At 38.5% G+C, this 23834-nt stretch overlaps 1 protein-coding gene and 2 pseudogenes across 24 annotated transcripts in view; all 3 read left to right on the top strand.

The window, feature by feature from the left end:
* Positions 1-23834, top strand: part of HERC4 (HECT and RLD domain containing E3 ubiquitin protein ligase 4) — a 153379-nt gene that overhangs the window by 61661 nt on the left and 67884 nt on the right. For 18 of the 23 annotated variants that reach the window (NM_001278186.2, NM_015601.4, NM_001278185.2 and 15 more), the window contains 5 exons: positions 20941-21017; positions 21300-21424; positions 22424-22483; positions 22608-22719; positions 23223-23412. In NM_001278186.2, the coding sequence (NP_001265115.1) occupies positions 20941-21017; positions 21300-21424; positions 22424-22483; positions 22608-22719; positions 23223-23412 (564 nt within the window). The remainder of the gene's footprint in view (positions 1-20940; positions 21018-21299; positions 21425-22423; positions 22484-22607; positions 22720-23222; positions 23413-23834) is intronic. The other 5 variants (XM_047424999.1, XM_017016041.3, XM_047424998.1 and 2 more) reach the window with 1 other exon arrangement.
* Positions 2740-3676, top strand: POU5F1P5 (POU class 5 homeobox 1 pseudogene 5; annotated as a pseudogene). The gene has a single exon (NR_131184.1). The product of NR_131184.1 is annotated as a POU class 5 homeobox 1 pseudogene 5 (transcript).
* On the top strand, positions 5606-5905 carry RN7SL220P (RNA, 7SL, cytoplasmic 220, pseudogene; annotated as a pseudogene).

Raw genomic sequence — 23834 nt, 5'->3', positions numbered from 1 at the left:
AAACTCTATGCATTAAACAGCAACTCTTCATTCCCTCCTCTTCCTAGTGCCTGGCAACTGCTATTCTACTTTATGTCTTTATGAATTTGACTTAACACTAGGCTAGGTACCTCAAAGAAGTGGAATCATATAGTAGTGTTTCTTTTTGTGACTCACTTATTTCACTAAGCATAACGTCCTCAAGGTTCATCTGTGTTGTAGCACATGTTAGAATTTCCTTCCTTTTTAAGCTATATAATTCAGGCATACCTTGGAGATATTGTGGGCTCAGTTCCAGACCACTGCAATGAAGCAAATAGTGCAATAAAGCAAATATCGTAATAAAGCAAATCACAAAATTTTTGGTATCCTAGTGCATATAAAAGTTATATTTATACTATATTGTAGTCTACTAAGTGTGCAATGATGACATTATGTCTTAAAAGACTGTGTATATGTTAGTTTATAAATATGCTTTATTGCTTAATAATGCTGACACAGAGATGAGCACATGCTGTTGGAAAAATGGTGCTGATAGACTTGTTCTATGCAGGGTTGCCCCAAACCTTCAATTTGTAAAAATCACAGTATCTGAGAAGCACAGTAAAGCAAAGCACAATAAAATGCGGCATGCCTGTGTTCTTATTATATGGATGTGGTTTGTGGCATCCAAACAATTGCAATAGTAACATCAAAGATCACTGATCATGTCATGCATTGTCTTATATCGCTAAATTAGTGATATGAGATCACCATAAAAGATAAAATAATAATGAAAAATATTGAAATATTGCGAGAATTACTAAAGCTTATAAGCTTTACTCAATTTTTGATACTGAATTTTTACAAATTGAAGGTTTTTTGACAACACTGCATTGAGCAAGTCAGTTGGCACCATTTTTCCAACAGCATATATGCTCACTTTGTGTCTTTATGTCACATTTTGGTAATTCTTAACAGTATTTCAAAACTTCTGTGTTGTTACTATATCTGTAATGGTGATCTGTGATCAGTGGTCATTGATGTAATTGTTTTGGGGTGCCATGAACCTTACCTATATAAGACAACAAACCTAATTGATAAATGTTTATGTTCTGACTGCTCCACCAGCTGGCCAGTCCTATCTCTCTCCTCTCCTCGGGCCTTCCTATTCCTTGAGGCACAACAGTGTTGAAATTAGGCCAGTTAATAACCCTACAGTGGCCTCTAAGTACATAAGTGAAAAGAAAATCTCTCACTTTAAATCACATTTCTCACTTTAAATCAAAAGCTAGAAAGGATTATGCTTAGTGAAGAAGGCATATCAAAAGCCCAGACAGGCTGAAAGCAAGGCTTCTTGTGCCAGTTATCCAAGTTGTTAATGCAACTTAAAGGAATTAAAAGTGCTACTCTGGTGAATACATGAATGGTAAGAAAGTGAAAAACAGCCTTATTGCTGATACGGAGAGAATTTTAGTAGTCCGAATAGAAAATCACACCAGCCACAACATTAGGATTAGCCAAAGTCTAATCCAGACCAAGATTCTAACTCTCTTCAAGTCTCTGAAGGCTGAGAGAGATAAGGAAGCTGCAGAAGAAAAGCTTGAAGCTAGCAAATATTAGTTCGTGAAGTTTAAGGAAAGAAGCCATCTCCATAATGTAAAAGTACTGATGTATATGCTACAGCAAGTTGTCTAGCATGTCTAGCTGAGGTAATTGACGAAGGTGGGTATACTAAACAACAGATTTTCAATGTTGACAAAACAGCCTTCTATTGGAAGAAAATGTCCTCTACAACTTTCTTTTATAGCTGAGAGAAGTAGTCAATGCCTAACTTCAAAGGACAGGCTGACTCTCTTTTAGGGTCTAATGCATCTGGTGACTTTAGGTTGAAGCCAGTGCTTGTTTACCATTCTGAAAATGCCAGGGCCCTCAGGAATTATGCTAAATCTACTCTGCCTGTATTCTATAAATGGAACAACAAAGCCTGGATGACAGCTCATCTGTTTACAGCATGGTGTACTGAATATATTAATATGGGCTTAAGCCCACTGTTGAGACCCACCGCTCAGTAAAAAGATTTCTTTCAAAATACTGCTGCTTATTGACAGTGCACCTGGTCACATCAGAGCTCAGATGGAGATATACATGGAGATTAATGTTTTCATGCCTGCTAATACAACATCCATTCTGCTGCTGTAGGAACAAGGAGTAATTTTTACTTTCAAGTTTTATTATTTAAGAAATACATTTCGTAAGGCTGTAGTTACCACATATAGTGATTCCTCTGATAGTTCTGGGCAAAGTAAATTGAAAACCTTCAAAGAATTCACCATTCCAGTTACTGTTAAGAACATTTGTGAAGTGAGAGGATTGCTTGAAGCCAGGAGTTTGAGACCAACCTGGGCAATGTAGTGAGACACTGTCTCTACAAAAAATAATTTTAAAAAGCCAGGTGTGGTGGCACATGCTACTTGGGAGGTTTAGGCAAGAGGATTGCTTGAGCTTAGGAGTTGAAGGTTTACAGTGAGCTATGATCATACTAGTGCACTCCAGCCTGGGCGACAGAGCAAGACCCTGTCTTTGATTCATGGGAGGAAGTCAAAATACCAACAATAAGAGTTTGGAAGAATTTTATTCCAACCTTCATGGATGACTGAGGGGCTCAAGACTTCATTCGAAGAACTTAACTATAGATATGGTGGAAATAACAAGAGAACTAGAACTAAAGCCTGAAAATGTGACTGAATTGCTGCAATCTTAGGATAAAAAATACCCTTCATCCAGTCCCAGGACATCTCAAAGCTCTGCAGAAAGAACTTGAGCAATTTGCCAAGCTCCTGAAGCAGAAGAGGATCACCCTGGGATATGCACAGGCTGATGTGGGGCTTACCCTGGGGGTTCTATTTGGGAATATGTTCAGCCAAACGACCATCTGCCTCTTTGAGGCTCAACAGCTTAGCTTCAAGAACATGTGTAAGCGGCGCGGCCCTTGCTGCAGAAGTGGGTGGAGGAAGCCGACAACAATGAAAATATTCAGGAGATATGCAAAGCCGAAACCCTCGTGCAGGCCTGAAAGAGAAAGCGAACCAGTATTGAGAACCTGGAGAATGTGTTCCTGCAGCGCCTGAAGCCCACACTGCAGCAGATCAGTCACATTGCCCAGCAGCTTGGGCTCTAGAAGGATGTGATCCGAGTGTGGTTCTGTAATTGGCGCCAGAAGGGCAAGCAATCAAGCAGTGATTATGCACCATGAGAGGATTTTGAGGCTGCTGGGTCTCCTTTCTCAGGGGCACCAGTGTCCTTTCCTATGGCCTCAGGGCCCCATTTTGGTGCCCCAGGCTCCCATTTTGGTACCCCAGGCTATGGGAGCCCTCATTGCACTGCACTGCACTGTGTTCCTTAGTGCCTTTCCCCCTGTTTCTGTCGCCACTCTGGGCTCTCCCATGCATTCAAACTGAGGTGCCTGCCCTTCTAGGAATGGGATACAGGGAGAGGGCGGAAGCTAGGGAAAGAGAACCCGGAGTTTGTGCCAGGGCTTTTGGGATTAAGTTCTTCATTCAGTAAGGAAGGAATTGGGAACACAAAGGGTGGGGGCAGGGGAGTTTGGGGCAACTGGTTGGAGGGAAGGTGAAGTTCGGTGATGCTCTTGATTTTAATCCCCATATCATGTATCACTTTTTTCTCAAATGAAGAAGACTGGGACACAGTAGGTAGAGAGAAAAAAAAGAAAAATACTCCTCATCCATTTATATTTTATGGATGAGCAAAGAAAGTGTTTTCTTGAGATGGAACCTACTGCTGGTGAAGATGCTATGAACATTATAGAAATGACAACAAAGTATTTAGAATATTCCATAAACTTAGTTGACAGAGCAGCAGCAGGGGTTAAGAGGCTTGACTCTACTTTTGAAAGCAGTTCCGTGGGTAAAATGCTATCATGCAGCATCTCCTGGTATAGAGAAATCTTTTATGAAAAGAAGAGTCAATCAGTGTAGCAAACTTTGTTGCTGTCTTATTTTAAGAAATTGCCACAGCTACCCCAGCCTTCAGCAATTACCACCCTGATCAGTCAGTAGCCATCAATGTTGACAATGAGGCGAGACTCTCCATCAACAAAAAGTTTAAGACTTGCAAAGCCTCAATTGATCGTTAGCATTTTTTAGCAATAAAGTGATTTTAAATTAAGGTATATGGATTTTTTTTTTAAGATACAATGCTATTGCACACTTAATAGACTACAGTATATTGGCCTGGCACAGTGGCTCATGCCTGTAATCCCAGTGCTTTGGAAAGCCAAGGCAAGAGAATCACTTGAGGCCAGGAGTTTGGGACCAGCTGGGGCCACATTAACTCTCATCTCTATAAAAGAAAAAAAAGAAAAACCAACTCTTGTCAATGGACTACAGTATCGTATAAACATCCTTTTTTTTTTTTAATGAGACAGAGTCTTGCTCTGTCACCCACGCTGGAAGTGCAGCGGTGCAATCTCGGTTTACTGCAACCTTCACCTCATGGGTTCAAGTGATTCTTGTGGCTTAGTCACCCTAGTAGCTAGGATTTCAGGTGCGCACCACCACACCTGGCTAATTTTTTTAGTATTTTTATTGGAGACAGGGTTTCAACATGTTGGCCAGTCTGGTCTCAGACTTCTGGCCTTATTTGATCTGCCCACCTTGGCCTCTTAAAGTGCTGGGATTACAGGAGTGAACCACTGCGCCCAGGCTAGTATAAACATACTTTTATGTGCACTATGAAACCAAAAATTTGTGTGACTTGCATTATTGCGATATTTGCTTTATTGCAGTTGTCTGGAACCAAACCCTAAATATCTTTGAGGTATGCTTATACCACATTTTGTTTATCTATTCATATATCAGTGGACGATTGGGTTGTTTCTACCTTTTGGCTATTGTGAATAATGCTGCTATGGATGTAGGTGTACAGGTATCTCTTTGAGATCCTGCTTTCAGTTCTTTTGGGTATATACAGGAGTGTTAATTATTTTCTATTTTTTAAGAATTTGAATTCTTTGAATCTATTGCTTATTAAAAATATTTAAAAATTTTGACCCAGAAGTGGATTCAGCACATAAGGACGTTTTCCACATCCATATGATTACATCCCCAACCGGTCAGCAGCACCCATTCTCCTGCCTGCCAAACTATCCTTGAAAAACCCTAGCCTTCAAATTTCTGGGGAGACTGATTTGAGTAATAAAATTCAAGTCTCCCATATAAAAACAACAAAAAATTTTTTGACTAGAAGGGAAGCTGCTGCCCTGAAGATAAAAGACCCCAGGCCTGACAGGATTTATCACTTGCTGACTAAAGAGCCCTTGGGCTTTGAATAAACATCAACAATAGACAGGAATTAGTCTCTACATGCTTTGGGTGAGACCCAGTACTGTCAGGTGTGATCTAGCACAGTCTTAGCAGTGGTGGCCATGGGAGTGCTTGCATCACCTCTACCCCAACTATTAAGAATCTCAGCACAGAGAGAGAGAGTGAGAGGGAAACTTCATTTGTTTGGGGGAGAGTAAGGGAGAAGAACAAGAGACTCTGCCTAGTAATCCAGGGAATTCTCCCAGATCTTACCCAAGTTCACCAAGGCAGTACCTCTATGAGTTGGCAAGAGTCACAGTTTTGCTGGGCGTGGTGGTGTGTGCATGTAGTCCCACCTACTTAGGAAGCTGAGGCAGGAGGATCGCTTGGGCTCAGGAGCTCTGGGCTGTAATGTGCTCTGCTGATTGGGTGTCTGCACTAAGTTCGACATCAATATGGTGACTTCCTGGGAGTGGGGGGCCACCAGGTTGCCTAAGGAGGGGTGAACTGGCTCAGGTTGGAAATGGAGCAGGTCAGAACTCCTGTGCTGATCAGTAGTGGGATCGTGCCTTTGAATAGCCACTGCACTCCAGCTTGGGCAACCATAGTGAGACTCTGTCTCTTAAAAAAAAAAAAAAGTGTTACTGGGCTTGGAGTGTCCACTAATGCAGATGGCTGCAGTGACTGAAGAATTGAGATCATTACACTCAATTCCTTTTGAATACTTGGAATGCCTTCCCAAGAAGTTCAGGTACAAACAAGTACGGACTGCAAAGGATAGAATAAATACCTAACTCTTCAGCGCTTAGACATTGCTGAAAATTTAGAAGCATCAAGACGATCCAGGAAAACATGACCTCACCAAACCAATGAAATAAGGCACTAGTGACCAAACATGAAGAGACAAAGCCATGTGACTTTTCAGAAATTCAAAACAGCTGTTTTGAGAAATCTCAACTAAACTGAAGATAAACAGAGGAAGTTCAGAATCCTATCAGATAAATTTAACAAAGAGATTAAAACAATGGTGAAATATCAAAGAGAAATTCTGGAGTTAGAAATGTAATTGACAACCTGGAGAATGCATCAGAGGCTCTCAACAGCAGAATTGATCAAGCAGAAGAAAGAATTAGCATGAAGACATGATATATGAAAATATACAGAGTTGACAAAAGAAAAAAGAGTGAAATACTCCCACAGGATCTAGAAAATAGCTTCAAAAGGGCAAATCTAAGGGTTACTGGCCTTAAAGAGGAGGTAGAAGGAGAGAGAGGGATAGAAAGTTTATTTAAAGAGCTAATAATAGAGACCTTTTCAATCCTAAAGAAAAATATCAGTATTCAAGTGCAAGGTTATAGAACACCAAGCAGATTTAACCCAAATAAGACTACCTCAAGACATTTGATAATCAAACTCCCAAAGGTCAGGGATAAAGAAAGGATCTCAAAAGCAGCAAGAGAAAAGAAACAGTATACAATGGGGCTCCAGTACATCTGGCAGCAGACTTCTCAGTGGAAACCTTACAGATTAGGAGAGAATGGCATGACATATTTAAAGTGCTAAAGGAAAATAACATTTATCCCAGAATATTATATCCACTGAAAATATCCTTCAGATGTGAAGGAGAAATAAAGACTTCCCAGACAAACAAAAACTGAGGGGTGGCCGGGCGTGGTGGCTCATGCTTATAATCCCACCACTTTGGGAGGCTGAGGCGGGCAGATCACCTGAGGTCAGGAGTTTGAGACTAGCCTGGCCAACGTGGCAAAACCCCATCTCTACTAAAAATAAAAATTAAAAAATTAGCTGGGCATGGTGGCTGGCGCCTGTAATCCCAGCTACTCAGGAGGCTGAGACAGGAGAATTGCTTGAACCCGGGAGGTGGAGGTTGCAGTGAGCTGAGATCGCACCATTGCACTCCAGCCCGGACAGCAAGAGGAAACTGTCTCAAAAAAAAAAAAAAAACAAAAACAAAAACAAAAACGCTGAGGCGTTTCATCAACAGCAGACCTGTACTATAAGAAATGCTAAAGGGAGTTTTTCATTCTGAAGGAAAGGGACATTAATGAACAATAACAAATCAACTAAAGGTACAAAACTCACGATAATAGTAAGTACACAGACATTGTGGTGTGCGCACTACTCATCTTGAGTAAGAAGACTAAAACGGATCAAAGATAATAATAACTACAGCAACTTGTAAAGACATATACAATATAATAAGATATAAATAGATGTAATAAAATTAAAGAGCAGGGGAAAAGATGATAAAGTGTAAAGTTTTTATCATTTTTCTCTTTGCTTATTTGTTTTTGTAATGAGAGTAAACTTGTCATCAGTTAAGATGTTGTTTGCAAGCCTGGTAACCTCAGATCAGATCAGAAAACAGGAGGCAAGAGGATTGCTTGAGCCCAGGAGTTTGAGATCAGCCTAGGCAACATAGTGATACCCCATTTATATAAAAAATAAAAATTAGCCTGGCATCATGGCACATGCCCATAGTCCCAGTTATTTGGGAGGCTGAGGTAGGAGGATTGTTTGACCAGGAGGTTGAGGCTGCAGTGAGCCATGATTGTGCCACTGCACTTCAGTGTGGGCAGTAGAGCAAGACCATGTCTCAAAAAAACAAACAAAATTAATAGATGCACAGAAAATTAAAAAAAAAAAGGAAATTAAAACATACCACCAGAGAAAGTCACATTCACAAAAAGGAAGATAGGAAGGAAGGAAAGAAGGAAGAGAAGACCATAAAACAAGAAAGCAAATTTTAAAATGTCAGGAGTAAGTCCTTATTAATAATAACATTTAGTAAACGGACTAAACTGCCCAGTCAAAAGACACTGAGTGGCTGGCTGGATGAAAAAACAAGACCCAGTGATCTGCTCCCTGCAAAGAAACACACTTCACCTATAAAGACACACATACACTGAAAATAAAGGGATGGAAAAAGATATTCCATGCAAATGGAAACCAAAAAGAGCAGGAGTAGCTATACTTATATCAGACAAAATAGATTTCAAGACAAAAAGTATAAGAAGATATAGAAGGTCATTGTATAATGATAAAAGGATTAGTACAACAAGAGGATATAACAGTTGTAAATATATATGCACCCAACACTAGAAAACCCAGATATACAAAGCGGATATTGTTAGAGCTAACAAGAGACAGACCCCAATAAAATTACAGCATAATATTGGCATAAAAACAGACACATGGACCAATGGAACAGAACAGAGAACTCAGAAATAAATTCATATATGTACAGTAAATTCATTTTGGACAAGGGCGCCAAGGACATACATTGGAAAAAGGATATTCTTTTCAATAAATGGTACTGGGAAAACTGGATATCCATATGCAGAAGAATGAAACTAGACCCCTCATATGGTTAGGCTTTGTGCCCCCACCCAAATCTCATCTTGAATCGTAATCCTCATAATCCCCATGTGTCAACGGAGAGACCCGGTGGAGGTAATGGAATCATGGAATCGGTTTCCTGCATGCTGTTCTTGTAATAATGAGTGAGTTCTCACAAGATCTGATTGTTTTATAAGGGGCTCTACCCCACTTTGCTCGACACTTCTTCCTGCCACCTTGTGAAGAAGGTGCTTTGCTTCCTCTTCGCCTTCTGCCATGATTATAAGTCTCCTGAGGCCACCCCAGCTATGCTGAACTGTGAGTCAGTTAAACCTCTTTCCTTTATAAATTACCCAGTCTCAGGCAATTTTTTATAGCAGCATGAAAACAGACGAATACACCCCTATCTCTCACTGTATACAAAAAGCATGTACAAATGGAATAAAAACTTAAATCTAAGACCTGAAACTATGACAAGAAAGCTGAGGAAACTCTCCAGGACATTGGTCTGGGCAAAAATTTCTTGAGTGATACCCCACAAGCACAGGCAACCAAAGCAAAAGTGGACAAATGGGATCACATCAAATTAAAAAGCTTCTACACAGCAAAGGAAACAAGAAAGTGAAGAAACAACTCACAGAATGGGAGAAAATATTTGCAAACTACCCGTCTGATAAGGAATTAATAACCAGAATATATAAAGACAACTCTGTTGTTTCAACTCAGTTGTTGAACTCTGTTGAACTCAACAACTCGGTTGTTCCTGAAACAACTCTATAGGAAAAATCTAATAATCTCATTAAAAAATGGGCAAAAGATCTAAATATGCATTTCTCAAAAGAAGGTATACAAATGGCTAACAGGTATATGAAAGGTACTCAACATCATCAGAGAAATGCAAATCAAAACTAAAATGAGGTATTATCTCACTCTGGTTAAAATGGCTTTTATCTGAAAGAGGGCAATAACATGCTGGCAAGGATATGGAGAAAAGGGAACGCTTGTATACAGTTGGTGGGATTGTAAATTAGTATAGCCACTGTGGAGAACAGTATGGAGATTCCTTAAAAAAACTGAAAATAGAACTATCAGATGATCCATTGCTGGGTATACACCCAAAAGAAAGGAAATCTGTACATCACAGAGGTATCTGCACTCTCATGTTTATTGCAGCACTATTCATAATAGCCAGTATTTGGAATCAATTTAAGTGTTCATCAACAGACATGGATAAAGAAAATGTGGTGTATATATACACAATGGAATACTATTCAGCCATAAAAAAGAATGGGATCCTGTCATTTGCAACAATATGAGAACTGGAGGACATTATGTTAAGTGAAATAGCCAGCACAGAAAGACAGTCACATGTTCTCACTTGTTGGTGGAAGCTAGAAATTGAAACAGTTGTACTCACAGAGATAGAGAATAGAATGATAGTTACCAGAGGCTGGGAAGGGTAGTGGGGTAAGGGGAGGAAGTGAGGATAGTTAATAAGTACAAAAATGGCAGGGGTGGGGTGGCTCACCCCTGTAATCCCAGCACTTTGGGAGGCTGAGGCGGGCAGATCATGAGGTCAGGAGATCAAGACCATCCTGGCTAACACAGTGAAACCCCATCTCTACTAAAAATACAAAAAAAAAAAAAAAAAATTAGTCAGGCATGGTGGCAGGCGCCTGCAGGCCTGTAGTCCCAGCTACTCGGGAGGCTGTGCAAGAGAATGGCATGAACCCGGGAGGCGGAGCTTGCAGTGAGCCAAGTGAGCCACTGCACTCGAGCCTAGGTGACAGAGCAAGACTCCGTCTCAAAAAAAAAAAAGTATAAAAATATAGTTAATAGAATGAATAAGGTCTAGTATTTCATAGCACAACAGAGTGACTACAGTCGAGAATAATTTATTGTACATTTAAAAATAAATATATTATTGGAACATTTGTAACACGAAGAAATGATAAGTGCTTGAGGGGATGGATACTCCATTTATTCTCATGTGATTTTTATACACTGTATGCCTGTATCACAATGTCTCATGTATCCCATAAATATATATACCTACTGTGTACTCATAAAAATTAAAATAAGGCTAGGCACGGTGGCTCAGGCTTGTAATCCCAGCACTTTGGGAGGCCAAGGTATGCACATCACTTGAGATCAGGAGTTTGAGACCAGCCTGGCCAACTTGGTGAAACTCCGTCTGAACTAAAAATACAAAAAATTAGCTGGGTGTGGTGGCAGACACCTGTAGTCCAAGCTACTCAGGAGGCTGAGACAGGAGAATTGCTTGAACCCAGGAGGCAGAGGTTGCAGTGAGCTGAGATTGCACCACTGCACTCCAGCCTTGGCGACAGAGTGAGAATCCATCTCAAAAAAAAAAAAAAAAAGTAAAAATTTAAAAAATTAAACATTTTAAATTTGCCTTTTATATCCATGCAGCTTTAGCCAAACTTGTATATACCTATTTTTTATCTATTATTCTTGCAGAGCTGATTATTTTTTCATTGATGTTAATTTACTACTTAGTTGGAAATATTTGAATGCTGTTTTCTCATTCATTTTTTTGACAACCTGAAACCAAAATGTCCTTCTTTTCATATATATTTTTTACTATCCCAAACTTCCTCAGAATTGTCTTCTTGTTTATCTATTGATGGAAACCAGAATTCTGATTTTCTTTAAAGTGATGCAAAAGTTGAGTCACGTGTGTGTTAATAGATTTTATCTATTCACAGTGACGAGGATACTATGAAGGTTGACATTTGTAAAGGTCCAGTGCTTTTTATTGTAAATAAACTTGATGTTTTTTTTATAATTAAAAGGCTTTTTCAGTTAAGCTCATATTTAACAAAGGTCACCATTACTTAGGAATGCATTTTGGCACCTTCGAAACTGTAGACCTTGAGATTATTTGCATTAGAATGGGGAAGGAGTTGGTGTTTTAAAATCAGTCGTTTTTGCTGCAATTTAGTTTCATCAAAAAATTGTGATACATTATAGCCAAAAGGTGGAAACAACCCACGTCCATCAGCAGATGAATGAGTGAAAAAAAATATTGTATACCTCTATAGTGGAATAGTATTCAGCCATAGAAAGTAATGAAATTCTCATACATTATGCAACTTGTATGAATCTGGAGAACATTATGTGGGGTGAAAGACACAAAAGGACAAATATCATATGAGTCTACTGATAAGAGGTACCTAGAACAACCAAATTCATAGAGACAGAAATAGTGGTTACTAGTTCCTAGAGGGAGGAGGGTACGGAGAGTTTCCATTTAATGGGTTTCTGTTTTAGAAGATGAAGTTCTAGAAATGATTAGTGGTGATAGTTGCACAACATTGTGAATATACTTGCTACCACTAAATTGTGCAGTTAAAATTGTAAATTTTATGTATATTTTATGATAAAAAATTGTGTAAAAATTGATAATCTTTTTGCACTGTACTCAAGCTGTATAGGATAAAAACTAGTTACATGTGAATTTAATTTACCAATTCTAGCCCATCCAGAGGTTAAACCCATGGCCCCCAGCATGAATTAACATTTTAATCATAAACTATCTGTGTGGCCAGTGCCATGGGTAAACAAGAGGAATTTTTTTTTTTTTTAAATACAAGGTCTCACTCTGTTGCCCAGGCTAGAGTGCTGTGACATGATCACAGCTCACTGCAACCTCAGCCTCCCAGGCTCAAGCAGTCCTTTCACCTCAGCCTCCTAAGTAGCTGGAACTACAGGTGTTTGCTACCACACTCAGCTAATTTTTAAATTTTTTTGTAGAGACGGGGTCTCACTATGTTGCCCAGGCTAGTGTTGAACTCCTGGATTCAAGTGATCCTCCTGCCTTGACGTCCCAAAGTGCTGGGATTACGCATATGAGCCACTGCACCCGGCTGACAAAAGGACATTCTTAACAGCCAGAATATTCCTTTGGTTTAGTGATTATTATCTCCCTGGAGCCAGGCAAGGGGCACACCTTTCTTTAAAATGTGTAAAGTTGAAACAACTATATTAGTTTGCTAGAGTTGCTTGTAACAACCTACCACAAACTCGGTGGCTTGAACAATACAAATTTATTGGCTCACTATTCTGCAGACTAGAAGTCCGAATTTAGAGTTGCTTCCTTCTGAAGGCTGTAAGAAGAATCTGTTACATATTTCTTTCCTAGTTTCTGGTGGTTTGCTGTCAATCTTTGGCATTCCTTCGCTTGTAGACCTTGGCCTTCTCTCTGTACGTGTCTGCATCCAAATTCCCCCTTTTATAAGGACACAAAACATTGGGTTATGGACCTACCCTACTCCATTATGACCTTAACTAATTATATCTGCAGTGACCTTATTTCCAAATAAGATCATATTCTGAGATATTGGGGATTAGGATTTCAACACACAATTTTTTTTTTTTTTTGAGACAGTCTGGCTCTGTCGCCTAGGCTGGAGTGCAGTGGCATGACCTTGGCTCACTGCAGCCTCCACCTCCCAGACTCAAGCGATCCTCCCACCTCAGCCTCCTGAGTAGCTGGGACTACAGGTGCATGCCACCACACCCAGTTAACTTTTTGTATTTTTTGTAGAGTTGGGGTTTTACCATGTTGCCCAGGGTGTTCTCCAATTTCTGAGCTCAAGCAATGTGCCTACCTGGGCCTTCAAAGTGCTGGGATTACAGGCATGAGCCACCGTGCCTTGCCCAATATACAAAGTTTTAGGAGACCCAGTTCAATCCATAGGAATACCCCAAACCTGCTGAGCTAATCTTTACTGCACAGAGGGTATCCTCAGCATCGCCCCTGTTAGTACAGGCAAACTTTGTTCCTTCAGATGACTTATTGGCTGGTGTGATGGCTTCCACCTGTAATCCCAGCACTTTGAGAGGTTGAGGCGGGAGGATTGCTTGAGGATAGGAGTCCAAGACCAGCCTGAGCAACATAGCAAGACCCTGTCTCTACAAAAGAAAAAAAAGTGACTTGTCATACCGGATTAAGTAACCGTTGTTCTCAAATATAACACTTCAGATAAGTCTTTGGTTGCATAATAGATTTTTTTCAATTATATTGTAGTAGGAAAGGGGACATATTCTTATTGAACCTTTATAAATATATTACTAATGAAGGGAGACTTAGTAAGAGATGGAATTCTGGGCATCAGTGAGAATCAGGTAGCATTTTTAAATAATTCCTTTTAGTTTACTCAAGCAGAGTTTTATGAAATTGTGGATAACTTTAGAAAGGAAAAATGAGCACAAAATCAAAATTAAACATTACTCAAACATGTAACCATAATAAATTTTTCTTCATCAGTTCATTCTTTCTTATGTCATAATGAATTCTTATTCTGCTGGACCTTGGGTTAGCAGTTTCATGAAATGTCTGTTTCTCACCTAACAAAAAAGAATATGAGGAATCCTAATGTACTTCACTGCTACGTTTTGAAAGTTATGTAAGAGAGATCTCTTCAGAACCCTATACCCAAGTGTCTTTTCTTTGATGTATACATTGTTTCACATACCTGTTGGAATCCTTTTAATAGGGCTCTGAGACTCCTTTGTTGAAAACACAAACTGGCCTGTAGCTTGTAGGAGAGTCTTCAGGCAAGCATCAGAGCAGACAAAAACTGCTCTGGTTAATAGGTTACACAGGCCTAAAATAACTGTGGCTAGTTTATTACTGATAATTATCAAATGATATGATCTGATGAAGATTCAGAGTAAGAATAATAATGTTTCCAAAGATGATGATTAGGCCTATTTTCAAGGAACTCAGTGACTCTTATGTCTGATATGTAAATATAGCTGAGCATAACCATTTATAGACAAAAACGAAATCTTGAGATACAACTTAATAATCTTGAGATCTAACATACCAGGTATACACAAGAATATCAAAAGAACCAGCAAGTGTAGGATCAAGCCTAGACATATTTTTATTTTTTATTTTATTTTTATAAAACTCCATGGGAGCCAGGCACAGTGGCTCATGCCTGTAATCCCAGCATTTTGGGAGGCCGAGATGGGTGTATCACCTGAGGTCAGGAGTTTGAGACCAACATGGTGAAACCCCGTTTCTACTAAAAATATAAAAATTAGCCAGGCATGGTGGTGCACACCTGTAGTCCCAGCTGCTCGTTGGGGCTGAGGCAGGAGAATCGCTTGAACCCAGGAGGAGGAGGTTGCAGTGAGCTGAGATTGCACCATTGCACTTAAGCCTGGGCAACAAGAGCAAAACTCCATCATGAAAAAAACAACTACATGGGTAAGCCTGAAGAACATCCCCTTTTGAGAACTACTGGCATAGAATATGTGGATTAGAAACAATAAGGTTAGAGAACCACTGGCATAAGTGAGAATTAGAGCAGTAAGGTTGTGCCAGAAAACATTTTAAATAATAACTGAAATTAGAACTGGATAGTACTGTACCCCCCCCCCTTTTTTTTTTTTCAATTGAGGTGGAGTGTCACTCTTTTGCACAGGCTGTAATGCAGTGGCAGGATCTCGGCTCACTGCAGCCTCCGCCTCCTGGATTCAAGCAATTCTCCTGCCTCAGCCTCCTGAGTAGCTGGAATTACAAGCAGTGCTACCACACCCAGCTAATTTTTGTATTTTTAGTAGAGATGGGGTTTCACCATTTTGGCCAGGCTGTTCTCAAACTCCTGACCTCAGGTGATCTGCCTGCCTCGGCCTCCCAAAATGCTGGGATTACAGGCATGAGCCACCATGCCTGGCCTGTATGATTTTTAATTGTATTATTATTATTTATTGAGAACTTTTGGGGTTTCTTAAAAAAATATTTTCCAGCCGGGTACACTGGCTCACACCTGTAATCCCAGCACTTTGGGAGGCCGAGGCAGGTGGATCACAAGGTCAAGAGATCAAGACCATCCTGGCCAACATGGTGGAACCCCCTCTCTACTAAAAATACAAAAATTAGCTAGGCGTGGTGGCACGCACCTATAGTCCCAGCTACTCCAGAGGCTGAGGCAGGAGAATCGCTTGAACCCGGGAGGCGGTTGCAGTGAGCCAAGATCACACCACTGCACTCCAGCCTGGCGACAGAGCGAGACTTTGTCTCAAAAACAAATGAACAAAGAAAAATATGTTCTATCCATGCATGGTTGATTGAATCTGCAAATATGGAACCTATGGATACAGAGGGCCGACTATGTTTCTTCCACCTCGTACAAGAGCACAGGTCATGGTGGATTAGGGCCTAATTTCCAAAAAGAGGAAATTTATGTTACTAAGAAACATGCAAAAATTATTACCCTCTTTAGTATCAAAGAAATGCAAATTTGAAAAGCAAGAGGATACTAAAAAAATAAAGCCTAATTTTAATAATCACCTCTTTAATGCCCTTATCTCCAAATACAGTCACATTCTGAGGTACTCAGGGTTAAAGCTTCAAACAGATCTATTTGGGTGGGGGATACAGTTCAGCTCATCACAGGAAGGCAAAAATCAAATAAGTATGAGAGGAAATGTGGATACTTCATTAAGATATAATCATAAGTGCTTGAGAAATAATACTTAGTTACCTATTTTACTACGGTGACAATAAATAAAAATAAATACAGATGATGATATGATTGAAAAGAACTTTAGCTCTTTTGTAAGTCAGGAGCCTTTGTTCTTTTTTCCTCTTAAATTTAAAGGACAATAAAGACAACATAAAGCATAGAATATTATTTTAATAAAACAGATTATTTGCTATCTAGCAGATTACACAAAAAGTAAAGAATAGCATTTTATATTATAGGTATTTATCAGTAAACCAAGGGAGCAGGTCCTTCTAAATTGAGTTAACTTTGCTAAGATGTTAACCATTTTATAGCTTCTTTCAGACTCAGGTATAAACTGAGGAAAATAAAATTCATTTCCCCAGTTGTATCTTTAGTTATGCTCTTTAATATTCTGCAACAAAGTGACATTTTGCTTGAGTTCAGTATTTCTATCTCAGAGGGTTCTTGAAGTCATAATGATTTTCTTTTTTTTTCTTTTTTTTTTCGAGACGGAGTCTTGCTCTGTCACCCAGGCTAGAGTGTAGTGGAGCGGTCTCAGCTCACTACAAGCTCTGCCTCCCGGGTTCTTGCCATTCTCCTGCCTCAGCCTCCCAAGTAGCCGGGACTACAGGCACCTGCCGCCACGCCCAGCTAATTTTTATTTTATTTTATTTTTTTATTTTTAGTAGAGACGGGGTTTCACTGTATGTCTCAATCTTCTGACCTCATGATCCACCCACCTTGGCCTCCCAAAGTGCTGAGATTACAAGTGTGAGCCACCGCGCCTGGCCAGTCAAAATGATTTTCATATTAATACTAAGATGTTTTCTATGCTAAATGTAATGCACTCAATATTGCTCATCTTCAAATAAAAAACTATTTTTTAAGTTTCTCAATTTTAAGTTCTAATACGTTAAGTATTAATGATTTTAACCCATGTAAACAAAGCCCTTTGGAGTCCTGAATAAGTGCTAAGAGTGGAAAGGGACTTAGAGACCATCAAAACTACTCATTTTCCATGTTAAACAAAAGCACATACACAGTTGTAGCTCTATCACTGTTTTGCTTCTAAGTAGAATTACAATTTACAGAATTGTGAATAGCTCAAAGACAGTGAAAGGTGGAGATAATCCTAAACAGTGCACTAATCAAGACTGTTTCTTGTGGGGCAGGGGGGGTGTCTATTTCAAGGTCTTCAAAATTTTCCCTGACAATATATTTTGTAAAGAAGAAGAAGAAGGCTGCCCAGGCTGGATTGCAGTGGCGTGATCACAGCTCACTCCACCCTCGACCTCTTGGGCTCAGACTACAGGCATGCGCCACCACGCTTAACCAATTTTTAATTTTTTTTGTAGAGGCGAGGTCTTGCCATGTTGTCCAGGCTGGTCTTGAACTCCTGGGCTCAAGTGATCCTCCTACCTTGGCTTCCCAAAGTGCTGGGATTACAGGTATGAGCTACTGTGCCCAGCGGAGAGGAATTTTAAGGACACTTTCAGATAGAGAAAGAGTGGCAAAAGTATGTATTACAGGTGGAAGATATGATGTCTGTTCATACACATTGAAACAAGGCATCACTGTTCTTTAGATAAGGGGGGGAAAATTACTTGACACATGAAAATTGGGGACAAAAAGGTCAGTTTAGATCCTAATGTCACAATATGCACTAAGATAAACTATAAATGAATTAAAGAGTAAATACTTCTTAAGACAAGAAGATATGAGTTGAGGATGGGAAAAGCCTTTCTCAGCATATATGCTATGAAAGTTATAAAGAATTAGATAAATTTGTTTAAATGGAAAAGTAAATGTTCTGTGAGTCAAAATTAAGCAAATAATTATTTGGAAAAAATATTTGTAGCAATTACAACCTAAGGTTAATATCCTGAATATCTAAAGTGTCCATACATATTAATGAAAAAAAAAAAAGACAGCTAATAGATAAATAAGACAAACAATAAATAAAGGAAATTAATGGAAGTTCCTAAAAGAAGAAATTTATATTACTAGGAAACATGCAAAAATTATTACCCTCTTTAGTATCAAAGAAATGCAAATTTGAAAAGCAAGAGGACAGTAAATAATTGTAATAGATCAAGCATTAATCCTCTCTTTCCTGTTATAAGATAACTATATAATAGGGAGAAACTAATGCTTCAGCTACAATATGAAGTAATGCTAACACTTAATTTTTCAACCTACAGTGAATGAGCATCAATGCCTACTACCACCACAAAAAAGAACTCAGTGAAAATTCTTCTCAAAGGAATTATGTGTTTCCTGATGGAACTACTCTCCTGCCTCCATGTAGTAGTTTTACTGAAATAACCAAATGGTGATTGAAACCTGTCTAGATTCAACCACCAATTTACAGAACAGAAGACCAAGCCAAATGTTAGGAGAAACCACAAAGATAAAGTCAGCAAAATCCAGTCTGCATAAAGTTGTACAGGACAAATGACTAGGTTTCTCAAACTTTTTCGAGTAGTGATTAAAAGGAAATTAAGGATAGGATGCAGTGGCTCACACCTGTAATCCCAGCACTTTGGGAGGCTGAGGTGGGCAGATCACTTGAGGTCAGGAGTTCGAGACCAGCCTGACCAAAATGGTGAAACCCCATCTGTACTAAATACAAAAATTAGATGTGGTGGTGGGCGCCTGTAATCTCAGTTACTCGGGAGGCTGAGGTTGCAGTAAGCCGAGATCATGCCACTGCACTCCAACCCGGGCGACAGAGTGAGACCTGTCTCAAAAAATAAAAATAAGGCCAGGTGCAGTGGCTCACACCTGTAATTCTGACACTTTGGGAGGCTGAGGTGGGCGGATCACCTGAGGTTGGGAGTTCGAGACCAGCCTGACCAACATGGAGAAACCCCGTCTCTACTAAAAATAAAAAATTAATCAGGAGTGGTGGCCCATGCCTGTAATCCCAGCTAATTGGGAGGCTGAGGTGGGACAATCGCTTGAACTTGGGAGATGGAGGTTGCGGTGAACCAAGATCGCGCCACTGCACTCCAGCCTGGGCAACAAGAGTGAAACTCCGTCTCAAAAAAGAAATAAATAAAAATAAAAAAAGGAAATTAAGGAAACTTAACTTTTGGTACCTAACTCATAGCCTCCAGAAACCCATTCATGTACTGTAGATTAGTCAACCATCTTGTAGGGAATTGTTTATAGAGGGCACAATCACATTTTAAGAGTAAATAAATAACATCCTGCTAAATCTTTTGAGGAAATGAGCAATTCCATATAGATTTGTGAGAATTATTTAGAAAAAAGATTTTAGGTTGAATAATTGGCTTATTTAATAAAGATTTACCCTTTTATTCTATTCTTAAAACTTGTTTTTGGCCTTAGGGTATTCTTGTGACTTACGGAAAATTTGATAGTAATTATCAAATTATTGTTCTAAACTCTGAAGCTCATTTTTGGTATAACCTAGATAACAATTGCATATTTGTATGGACAGGTATTTACTGATTTCTTTTACAAATAAAACATTGTGCTTGCTTGTAAGGAATAATCAAGGAAATTAACATGTGGTCATTTCCTTGAAAAGAATGGATAATTCTATAGCAGCCATGGTCACAAATAATACAAGGTGAAGAATTAGTCAACTAAGGAATGGGAATAGGATAACAGGGATAGACTATGGACTAGCCAAGCAATATTTTTGGTAATAGATACTCTTTCCAGTTTGGGGAGCAGAAGAAAAGAAAAAAAAGAGGCCCGGAATATCTTTTTCAAAAGAAACTTTGTTGCCCTTTCTTTATTCCTAATAAATTTGCTTATTAATGTATTCACTTTGGGGCCTAATTTGGCTTTTACTGACAAATAGCTGCCAACAAAGAGCTGTATGTATTATCTTGTACACCTATATTGAAAAAAAAAATTCTGCATTATGAAATATTTACTCCAGAAGTTTTAATTTTTGTTTGCTGTTTCTTTTTAAGAATAATTTTTTTTTTTTTTAGAGATGGGTCTTGCTATGTTGCTTGCTGGAGTGCAGTGGCTAGTCACAGATGCAGTCATAGCATACTGCAGCTTTGAACTGGGCTCACGCCATCCTCCTGCCTCACTCTCCCAAGTAGCTGGGACTACAGACATGTGCCACTGTAGCCCAGTTCAATTCTTTCTTTTTTTTTTTTTTTTGAGGTGGAGTCTTATGCTCTGGCCCAGGCTGGAGTGCAGTGGGGTGATCTCGGCTCACTGCAACCTCCGCCTCCTGGGTTCAAGCGATTCTCCTGTCTCAGCCTCCCAAGTAGCTGGGATTACAGGCACACACCACCACGCCTGGCTAATTTTTGTATTTTTAGTAGAGATGGGGTTTCACTATATTGGCCAGGCTGGCGTCGAACTCCTAACATCAAATGATCCTCCCACCTCAGCCTCCCAAAGTGCTGGGATTACAGGCATGAGCCACTGTGCCTCGCCAAGAATAAATACTCTTGATTTTTATTTCCTTCTAGCTATCTTTTGTAGCTTTTGTTCTATTTTTTTTAAATCATCTTTGGTTTAAACTGAAATATACTGAGATGCAGATTAGAAAAAGCTTTTTTTCTTGGTGCAGGGCAGAAGAAAGGCTTGTAAACTTCACCAAATGCTGCTTATGCTTGTGGGATCGTTTAATGTTCATCATTTGGTCAGTCTCATCCCCATAGCAGTCAGAATATTTCAAGTCACTTTATACCATGAAGTCCATGAATGGGAGGCCTTATTAAATAAGATGATTATGTGAAAATCTAATGGCATATTGATGCTCTGAAATATGTTATGTAAATCTTGGCTTTTAATTTTTTACATTTTTATTACAGATTCTGAAGAATATTTCTGTGTAAAAAGAATTTTCTCAGGGGGAGATCAAAGCTTTTCACATTACTCTAGTCCCCAGGTAATAATATAGTCATGTAAATAATTAAATAGCTCCAATAATTTTGACAAATTTTAAAAACCCATTATTAATGTTCTTTATATGTTACAAAGTAATTGCCTTAGTTTTTTTCCCCTTAAGTCTACAGAATAAGTTTTTTCTGATCTATTTGATAGGTTTTTGTTTCAGGTGTTCAGGAGAGATTTAATTCTGTTTAAAGAACAAATATATGGTGGGAATTTCTTGGTTTTTGAGTTATATATAATATCTCTTCCCTCTGACTAATCTTATTTGAAAATTTAGAACTGTGGGCCACCAGATGACTTCAGATGTCCCAATCCGACAAAGCAGATCTGGACAGTGAATGAAGCTCTAATTCAGAAATGGCTGAGCTATCCTTCTGGAAGGTTTCCTGTGGAGATAGCCAAGTAAGAAAAGCATTTTGGGCCAGGCACAGTGGCTCATGCCTGTAATCCCAGCACCAGGCAGATTGCCTGAGCCCAGGAATTGGAGACCAGCCTGGGCAACATGGCAAAACCCTGTCTCTACAAAAAAATACAATTAGCTGGGCGTGGTGGTGCACACCTGTGGTCTCAGCTACTTGGGAGGCTGAGGTGGGAGGATCAGCTGAGCCCAGGAGGTCGAGGCTGCAGTGAGCTGAGATTAACACCATTGCACTGTAGCCTGGGCAACAAAGTGAGAACTTGTCTCCAAAAAAAAATATCCATGGATATTTTTAAAGATCTTAATTAAATATGTATAAGTTGTAGTTCTTTCATGTGCATAGAGATATGTTAAATGATAACATAAAATATTTAATGTAGCCATTTTAGGATTGGCCTTGAAATGTGTTCCTTCTGGTTTTATAATGGTCACTATCTTAACTTTTATACTTTGTGGAAGACTTGAGTATTATTTCTTTCTTGAATATTTTGTTAACTTGCCTAGTAGCACTTAAGATGTTATTTGTTTTTTGTTGGTATTTGGGATGATGGGTTGTATTTGAAAAGCTGTTTTGTTTCTCTAGCTTGTTTTCCAAAACTATAATTTTTCTGAAAATCCCAAAGGCATCCCAGATTAGGCTCACTGCCAATATAAAATGTTTAAAATTTTTTTAAATTAAAAAACTTTTTACATGAACATACACACTTAATTTTTAAAATACCATGTTTTAAAGCAGATAACATTGGATAAATGGATGAAAGTAATATTTAAGAAAGTCTAGAATAAACAGTAATACCTTCATCAAGTATTATTTTATCAGTCTTTAGCAATTTATGTAATTCTGATTCATCTAATTGGGTGTTAGAGGAGTGCTCTGTAGCATTAAACATTAGATTAATTATTCATTTTAATTCTTTTTTAAGAAAGGGTAAACAATTAAATTTCTGATTCTATGATTAAAAAAACTTTTTTAAATTTTTTAGTGAGATAGATGGAACGTTTTCTTCCTCTGGTTGCCTAAATGGAAGTTTTTTAGCTGTTAGGTAAGTGGCAATTCTTTAATATGCTGAAATTTTCAAATTTATTGTCTTAAATAGTATATCAAATTAAAAAATGAAATAATTTTAAATTTTTATTCTATTTTTTTTTTTCTTTTCTGTTTTTTAGCAATGATGATCACTATAGAACAGGTACCAGATTTTCAGGGGTTGATATGAATGCTGCTAGGCTTTTATTCCACAAACTTATACAACCTGATCATCCGCAGATATCTCAGCAGGTCTGTTTTTAAAGTATTATGTTTACAGTATTATCTGTTGATTTTGTTTTCTTTTGTTTTATACGTTTATAGCCTAATTTACTTTGCAGTTTCACAGACTCTTACGATGTGCTTTTAAAATAAGATTTTATTTTAAAGCATTTGTAATTTAGCTGTCAAAGATCTATAAATCTTTTCAGATGTTTGAAGCAGACCCTGAATTACTTAACATTACCACGTTGCTTAAGTTTGTGTATGGTTATAGAGGTAGAGAGTTTAAATTGAGACTTGTACACGTGATTTTTTAAATTCTCCAAGTAATGCTTAGGCATTAATTTTCATTGTGCTCCAAAGTATATTCATTGTAAGACATTGTCTTTCTTTTTTCTTCTTCACCATTTCATATTTGCTGTAGTGCAAAATTTTCCTTTTCTTTCTTTTCTTCCTGCCTTCCTTTTTTTTTTTTTTCTTTGAAAGTGTATTCATTTTAAATGAAGTAGGTTTTACTTTTTGTCAAAATATAGGTGGCAGCTAGTTTGGAAAAGAATCTTATTCCTAAACTGACTAGCTCCTTACCTGATGTTGAAGCATTGAGGTTTTATCTTACTCTACCAGAATGTCCCCTGATGAGTGATTCCAACAATTTCACAACAATAGCAATTCCCTTTGGTACAGCTCTTGTGAACCTAGAAAAGGCACCACTGAAAGTACTTGGTAAGAATTCTAATATTTTTTCTTTTGAAACCTTTTCTCTTTAAATGAAAATGCTTCATAAGTTCTTTTGCCATTTGCAGTTCTGCTGCCCTGCTTATTTGACACTGTCTTAGGCAAAAATGAACCTGTTTTTCCTTTTCTTGCTTTTGTCTAGTCTTTTGATTCTAGTTGTTGGAGTTGTTGAAAGAAAAACATGTTAGATATAGAAGTTCAATTAAACATAACAGCAGAGACAGTATTAGGAAAGTTAAAAACTGTCACCCGTATTCCTTTCCCTCATCGCCTTTAGTATAATCTTGCTATTAAAGAAGTAAAGGAGGAGGAACAATTAAAACTGAACAAACATGGGCTTTAAATCTTCTTGGAACCCTGATATAAGCCCTTTATCTTGTGTTTCCTTCACTTGCTAATTTCATGATATT

Source organism: Homo sapiens, chromosome 10 (assembly GCF_000001405.40).
Source record: "Homo sapiens chromosome 10, GRCh38.p14 Primary Assembly".
NCBI classification, from domain to species: domain Eukaryota; kingdom Metazoa; phylum Chordata; class Mammalia; order Primates; family Hominidae; genus Homo; species Homo sapiens.
The sequence above is the reverse complement of the archived record's forward strand: the minus strand, read 5'-3'. Positions and strand labels throughout refer to the sequence as shown.